This window comes from Homo sapiens, chromosome 21 (genome assembly GCF_000001405.40).
Source record: "Homo sapiens chromosome 21, GRCh38.p14 Primary Assembly".
NCBI lineage: Eukaryota > Metazoa > Chordata > Mammalia > Primates > Hominidae > Homo > Homo sapiens.
Genome location: NC_000021.9, coordinates 35,885,728 through 35,893,856, shown reverse-complemented (window position 1 = coordinate 35,893,856; position 8,129 = coordinate 35,885,728). Strand labels below are relative to the sequence as shown.

At 37.9% G+C, this 8,129-nt stretch overlaps 2 pseudogenes across 1 annotated transcript, besides 1 other annotated feature; one reads left to right on the top strand and one right to left on the bottom strand.

Moving 5' to 3' along the window:
• MTND2P1 (MT-ND2 pseudogene 1) lies at positions 1,706 to 2,631 on the top strand (annotated as a pseudogene).
• Positions 5,430 to 7,412, bottom strand: PPP1R2P2 (protein phosphatase 1 regulatory inhibitor subunit 2 pseudogene 2; annotated as a pseudogene). Its single transcript, NR_144547.1, has one exon. The product of NR_144547.1 is annotated as a protein phosphatase 1 regulatory inhibitor subunit 2 pseudogene 2 (transcript).
• Positions 6,837 to 7,338: an enhancer, noted in NCBI's record as "H3K4me1 hESC enhancer chr21:37258817-37259318 (GRCh37/hg19 assembly coordinates)". NCBI's record gives its function as "activates a minimal SCP1, AML or CMV promoter by ChIP-STARR-seq in primed H9 embryonic stem cells {active_cell/tissue: H9 hESC(primed)}" and the evidence as "EXISTENCE:reporter gene assay evidence [ECO:0000049][PMID:30033119]".

The window sequence follows — 8,129 nt, the reverse complement described above, 5'->3', positions numbered from 1 at the left end:
TAGTTACCGTGTGGCAGCTGCCATTTTATTTCCTTGATGCCTGGGAAGGTGCCAGCAGAGACTCCTCCGTTGTCATCCAGGTCTACCTGAGACCATCTGCCACCCCTGGGGTGAGCGACACCTGCCCTCCAGGCCACTCTGCTGCTGCCCTGGGCGCCATCTCCTCTGCTTGTGCTGATGATACTTGGAGCCCTTAGGAGCCACAGCTGTGTAGTTTTTTGTGGAGCAAATTCCTCTTTTCACCTGGTGTGTACTTCATGAAAGGTCACTGAAGCAGAGCCACCCCTTCCTCAGTGCCTTGGATATTGTTAGTGAAAACAACCTCCCTTTTCAGTTGCGGTCTCTACATATTGCAGATTGGGCTGGGCCGGGCTCAGGAAACCAACCAAGCACCAACGTCTTCCCAGAGTCACTTCTTCACTGATGACAGTGGGTTGCTTCTTGGGCTATTATCTTCCAGGAAGTTCTGGTTGCTCATTAACATAGATCCTGGTGACACAGCACCTCTAATTATGATGAAAGCACCTCATACTTTAGTCACAATCCAAGGATAGCAAAAAAGATACCATTAATTGTTTTCCATGCAGAGGAAGAGGTGGGGCCACACCTGTTGGGAATGTTACTAGTGATCATATATTGCAATTGATGTTGTAGCTGATTACCAGACCCTCCTACCTCTATTGAATCATGCTTATCTTCTTGTGCAAAATACCATTACCTGTATATGTGGCAATGGAAAACTTTGGAGCAGGAGATATGAATAAGGAGCTGCTAATCAGATCAGCTAGGAGGAGAAATCCTGGATAAGAAGGCCCTGTTCCACTGTAAACAGAATCACCATTTACCTGGAACCTCTGTATATGTTTACTCAAGGCCTTAGCTCATAATTTGGGTCCCAGTTCCATTCTTTACAACTCTTATAAGTTTGCTTGTCTTCTTCCTCTTGCCTACTGGCAAGAATTGTCTGGCTGAGATAATAAGCCCCCTGTGGGAAGGGCCAGCCTCTGTTTAATGAGCTTGATCAGAGGCTGACATTTAGGACAAATATGAGAATATGAACTAAAGCTAAAATGTAATCTAGGAAGGTCTGAGGCTAAAACCGTGAGTGTCCTCAGCAAAGCAAGATGTAGGAATTGGTATCTTCCAGTGTCACAGCCCTATTGTTGTAGATCATTACCATTTATGGATAGAAAAAGCCCTTTTCATGTGCGTTGAAGATTCCAGGCCATAGAATGTCCTTGCACTCATGTCTGAGCTGGTGCAGATTGACCACCTCGTGGCTGGCTCTTTGCTCCTTTCTTTGTAGTGGGGGAAAATGGGGATTCTTCCATTGATTAAGGAAAAGGTTTGGGCCAAGATCTTTTCCTCTTAGGCAGCCTGGTAAATTTTCTCCTTACATGTGAGTCAACAAACATTTATCTGAAATGCTTTCATCTCCAATCTAACTCCACCTGCTGTTGCTCTCTGGTTGTGGGGAATCCAGAGACTCTCTGGAACCTTTTGTGGGAAGCACACCTGAGGTTTAGATTGGGGCCCATCTTACCCATTTCCTTCTTTGCTCCCTATCTTTCTCCCTCCAAAAATGACATGGCAATGCTTACTAAAGCAATTTCATTGGTTATTTTTAGAAAGATATCATATATATATAATACGTATGTCTCTGTATACTATATAACAGAGAGTGATGTGAACCGTGAGCCAGAAATTTACAGGAACTATACTTACAATATTTAGCTTGCACTGATTAATAATCTGAATAGGACTAGAAATAAATGTACTAGCCATTATTCTCATTTTAATAAAAAATTAAATTCATGATCCAAAGAAGCAGCTACTAAATATTTCTTAACACAACTGCATCTACAGTCCTAATAGTAGGTGTCTTGATATATCATATTCTGGGTAGTGAACAATCATAAAAATTCCCAACCCAATAGCATCTGTAATAATCACTATAACAGTAATTATAAAAAGTGGGCTTTCTCCATTCCATTTCTGAGTCCCAGAAGTAAGACAAGGAATTCCAATAACATCAGGCATAATCTTATTAATATGACAAAAACTGGCACTAATCTCAATTCCAAGTATCATCAATTAACCCAAATGTAATATTAATTACTGCTATATTATCAATTCTGATAGGAGAATGAGGAAGACTAAATCAGGCATAACTATACAAAATTCTGGCCTATTAATTGCACATATAGACTAAATAATGTCCACTCTAACCTACAACCTTTCTACAATAATGTTACATCTACTAATTACAAAATATTAATAATCACTGTATTCATATTTATTCAATTTAAATATAACTCCCATACATTATCATTATTACATACATGGGGTAAGTTATCACTAATAACTCCCATATCTTTATATTTCTATTATCTCCAAAAGACCTACCTCCTCTTACACGATTTTTACCAAATGACTTATTAGCCAAGAATTAACAAAAAATAACAGCGTTATTATACTAACATTTATCACCATCAAAGCCCTACTCAACTTATGTTTTTGTATGGGATTAATCTATTCTACATCATTAAAGACGTTCCCCAAAACCAATAACATAAAAACAAAATGACAATTTGAAAATATAAAATAAACATTCTTCCTTCCCTCGCTTATTTTGTTATCAGCCTTTTTCTTCCCACTTAAACCAGTATTCTCAACATTGGATTAGGAATTTAGGTTAGGCAGACCAAAAGCCTTCAAAGCCCTAAGCAATATTTTATATTTTATTCCTGAAAAATTAAGGACTGCAACACTCTCTATCTTACATCAATTGAATGCAAATCAAACATTTTAATTAAACTAAATCCTCATTAGATTGGTAGTATCCAACCTCAAGAAAATTTCATTAACAGTGAAATACCCTAATCACCTGTCTTCAGTCTACTTCTGCTGTTGAGAGAAAAGGGCAGGGGAAGCCCTGGCAGAATTGAAGCTGCATCTTTGAGTTTGCAATTTGATGTGACTATTCACCTTGAGGCACAGTAAAAAGAGGGTTCAACCTCTGTCTTTAGATTACGGATTAAGGCTTCCTCAGCCATTTCACTCTTCTACCTATATTGATTAATCATTGATTATTTTCAACAAACACAAAGATATTGGCACATTATAGTATTCGGTGCTTGAGCCAGAGTAGTAGGAACTGACATAAATCTCTTAATATGAGCCAAACTGGGTCAACCAGGAGCCCTATTAGGCAATGATCAAATTTATGTCATTATAACTGCCCATGCATTTGTAATAATCTTTTAATGGATATGCCAATTAAAATAAGAGGACTTGGTAACTGATTAGCTCCCTAAATGACTGAGCCGAGATACAGCATTCTCTTATAAACAATATAAGCTTCTGACTTTTTTCACCATCGTTTTGACTTCTGCTTGCCCCTTTACTAGTAGAAGCTGGAGCTGGGACAGGATAAGCAGCTTTAGTTGGAAATTTAGCACACGCAGGAGCCTCTTACAATTTTCTCATTACGCTTCGCAGGTATTCCATTAATTTTAGGAGTTACTAATTTTATTACAACAATTATGAATATAACACCACCAGTCATATCCCAATATCAGACATTTTATTATTCTATAAAATAAGAACATTTATTCCTTTTGTTGTCATATTATTGTATTTTATGTATGTGTAGTGTATACTAACTTAAAGGAAAAAATGTAAACAAAATCGAAGTCATGGGGAAAATGGCATCTTGCTTTAATCTTCAACTTAAAGTTATTCTTAACAATCCATTTATACCATTATGTCAAATTTTAGTCATCCCTGCAGAATTTGATTAATGAAAACGGACAAGGCAACACCAAGGAGTTAAGCACAGAAAGTGATATTGATTAAAAAGTTGAAAGTAAAATCTACTGTGGCTAGAACTGAACATTCAAATCTGTCTCTCCAGAAGAAAATCTAACTTGAATTATAATGGTTCATATTTTGACTAGTTCATACCATATCAATGAGCAACTTATGACTTGAAAACACCTTTTTCTCAGCTGAATTTGACTACCTAAAATCCTCCTGGGCATGCTGTTTGTCATGTCTTACTGCTCTGAAATAATCATCTATTTCTGAAAACCAGAAAATGAGTTTGCTTGTAAGGTAAATTTCAAAAAATAATTTGGAGAAAACACAAACAGAATCAACTGTTTAAAGTCTTATCCTTTTCTTCATTGTACAACAGCTACTTCTACCAAAAAAAAGAGTATGTGAATACTTTCTAAGAACTCAAAAACAAGAAAACCAAAATCAGAAGGTGCATGAATATATGTACACATGTATGTACAGACTTAATGTCTACATCCCCCAAAACAGATTTAAACAGGTAATCTCAACATTCTAAATTCAGAAGGCAGAGATAAGCAGTTTTGTTTCTAAATCAGTGGTATTACTAGCTGAAATGTTTAGTAGAATACTGCACCTATAGTTCAGCAGTACTTTGATTATATCCCATTAAAAAAATCAAAATAATTAAAACATTCTTCTAATACCAAATAATTCTCCCACTTTTTATTTATTTTGACATACTGATATTTCCATAAACTTGCAAGTGGAAGATAAGCTGTTCAATAAAAGCTTTCTTATATATATAATATACAGAAATTATTTTAAAAGTCTGTTCATATAACAGATTATTTTGGTACTAACAAAAACTTAAGATACAAATAATTGGCTAGAAATGAAACCATCACTAACCCAAGATGCACAGGGCTTTCCTGCACTTCATTTCAGGAAAAAATTCCAAGTAATTCTTACTGTGTTAGAAGAATAAAGTACATTTGTCATAGTATATATTATCGTATTCCCTTAAAGCAGGGACTATTTAAAGTATTTAAATTAAACAATGTCCAGGCTTACTTTTGTCTGTACTTTCAGTAATAATCATATCACTGGTTACACACAATTCTCTCCTCATGCAAAAAAAAAAAAAAACCCAAAAAACAAAAAAACCCTCAGTTAATTGTTTTCTTAAGTCTAATTAAGCCAAAAAAACTGATAATAACAATTTAATTAGCAAGCTGTAAATGAGAGAGGTATAGAAATTCAGCAGTTAAACTGTATTTCCTGCCTATAGTACTGCTGCTACTTAATCTATTTGCTTCGTGTATTAGAAGAATTCATAGGCATTGATGGTCAAAATAAGAATTTCAATATTGCAGCAAATGACAGAAGAGTGAGAGAAAGAGTTCCTAACGTTGTGACAATCTTAATGATCCTTTAAAAGGTAAAGGATTGTGTGCCTATGTGAGGAAAGGGGTAAGAAATAAAAGCAGGAGGTTAAGACAGGTATTTAAAGGGAATGCTGAGATAGCTACATTAGAATATTTATTGAAAAAAAGCTGCTCTGAAGTCTGCCCAGTGTACCAAAAACATAAAATAGAAAAAACCAAAACAAAAAACAGAGGAGACATTAGTGCAAGTTTAACCTGATAATTTATTTGTCGGAAAAAAGCTAGTTTTGACAAGAAAAAGTTCAGACCTTTCCTTGTAAATACAAAGAAACACAACAGGAATTTTAAAGGTAGTAGGCCAGAAAATGCAACGGTAACTCTTACAACCCTTTTCAATTAAACAGACAAATCAAGTTGAAGACAAGCGTTAAAATACTACTCAGCCTGAATATTTATCAGTCTTTATATGCTGTTCAGTTGGCTTTTGATTAAAACAACAACAAACTTTATAAGAGCTACCACCACATTTAGAGTGATGACAATAAATGTTCCCCCCCAAAGACATTGTTTAACCTCTAAAGCATAAAAAGTTATATGATATCTTATACAAATTAACCAGTGTTTTTTACAAAAGTAATGCAGTTTTGGACTGATGATATTACACTGTATTTGTGGTAAAGTACTATGCACAAGAATATATTTTAGGCATTATCAGTCTCTATAAGGTTATCATTTAATTCTTGGCAATATATAATAACTGGTATGCATTTTGGTACTTCAGTCATGAATTGTGGAGAACAAGAAGCAATGCATTATAGTAACAGGGTTTATATCTAACAATTGCAGCGTTGAACAAATCTCTTCTATGAACTTCGTGATTTCTTTTGCTGTTGGTCACTTGCAGTAGATCCTTGATTTGATTTTTCCGTATTCATGCTTTCTCCATCTACAGTCTCTAACATTTCTTCATCTTCGTCATCATTTAGGTCTTTTGAAATTGTCTAGCTAGTTTGATGATATTGAGTCCTTCATTGTAGTGAAACTTCCTTTTCATTTCAAATTGTCGCTTTTTTTCTTGTTCTTCAGGTGAGAGGTCACTATCCTCCTCTCTGCTGCTATCTTATTCCTGAACCCTATACTTTGGCTCCGAGCCTTCAAGCAGCAGCGAATTTCTTAGCTAAGATATCTCGTTCCATGGTTTCAGTGGTCTCTGTATCACTACATACATCTTCATCATCACCTATAATACGATGGGAAGAAGTGCTTGGTTCATCTATTTTCATAAACCATAGTCTTTGTCTGCTGGATGATATGTCGCCAGGATGTTCATTTCATCTCACTTCTGGAATTTTTTTGCTCAGCTCCTCGTCCACACTCCCGTGGAGCTGTTAGGCCGACACCGCCGTAGAGGAAGTCATAGAGGAAGTTGTTCTTGAGGTTCTCCTTGATTGGCCGGTGCGAGGCTGTCCAGGCCGCCAATGCCGGGACTTCCGGCTCTTGGCTCAGGGTGGCTGCTCGGCGTGGAGTCCGCGAAGAGAGGGGTCGGACACTAGCTGAGACCCGCAGGCAGCCGCAGAGCACGCTCAGGGCTAAAGTAGCCGCACCCGCTGTCTAGGAAACGGTTACCTGAGCGGTTGTCAGGACACAACGACCCAGACGCCAGAGCCAACGCCAAACGGGTAGAGGCCTCTCGAGCGCCCTTAACCACCGGCATTTGACTCGCAGCCCGCGGCGAGACTTCGGCCTGGAGCCCCCGCGCGGAGCGACGCCGACGCCGAACACATTTATTCTTATTTCGAATGAGCCATTTTTTCCCCACTGGAAAACCTCCCTTCAATTAGAAAGATGAATTTCAAAGGTTCTGAAGAGTGGGTTAGCAACTTTCGTCAGAGTCATCTTGGAAAGGTGAAATTGATGGTTCCATAGGGGAAAAAAAATTGGTTTCCCAATCTGCTTCTGAAAAGGAATTCTTCTGGCTGAATAGGTTGGTAGCTTGAGTCGAGTAACCTTCCTTGGGACGGGCTGCATTCTTCTGCTGTTTGATCCATGGAATCTTGGCCATTTTTAGGGCAGCCTAAGAGTGTGAGTCTGCTCTGGGACATATCGAGAGGCTGTGCTGTACATGGCAGTCCTTGGGCAGTTGGTCGCGATAAGGATGTTGATGCAGACAACGTTCCATGTGGTTCCCCTGGAGTTAGCTGTACTCCTCTGGGAAGCCCCCAGGTGACCATTCTTTCAGAGTCCTCCGGAGGATGTGAAAAACCAGGAAAGCCTCCCTAAGGTCACACCTGCCTGAATCTGGTATCCATCTGGGTACATTCAGTCTCTGGGGACATCTGCTGGCCTAGGTTTATGGGTTGATGGACAATCAGTGGATAATGGAATCGGAAGCCTTAAATCAGACAACTTTCCAGGTCTAATCCAAGCCCTTCATGCTATTGATGAGGAGATGGAGTCCCAGGTAAGAAAAAGAACTGAATGATGTTTAGAATCCAAGTGTCCTGACTCGTGCTTCAGGTCACTGCTGAGTCAGGGGTTTTCAAATAGCAGTGACCTTAATCACTTGGATGCTTGTTAACCATGCAGATTCCTGTGCTACCTCTATGAGATTCTCGTTTTCATGAATACTCTGGGTTAAGATTATATAATTAAAATATAATGTGAGCTATATGGGTAATTTAAATTTTTCTAGTAGCCCTATGATAAAGGTAAAAAAAAAGTTTAGTAATATGTTTTAATCCGTTGTAGCCAAATTTTAACATATAATCACTATAAAAAGTTATTAATGAGTTAGTTGACTTTTTTGGGGTACTAAGTCTTTGAAATTTGGTGTGTATTTTACAACACATCTAATTTATTTATTTGTTTATTCTGAGCCATTCTTCCTGATGTTCTCCCTCCCCCTACCCCCAACAGGCTCCAGTGTGTGTTGTTCCCCACCAT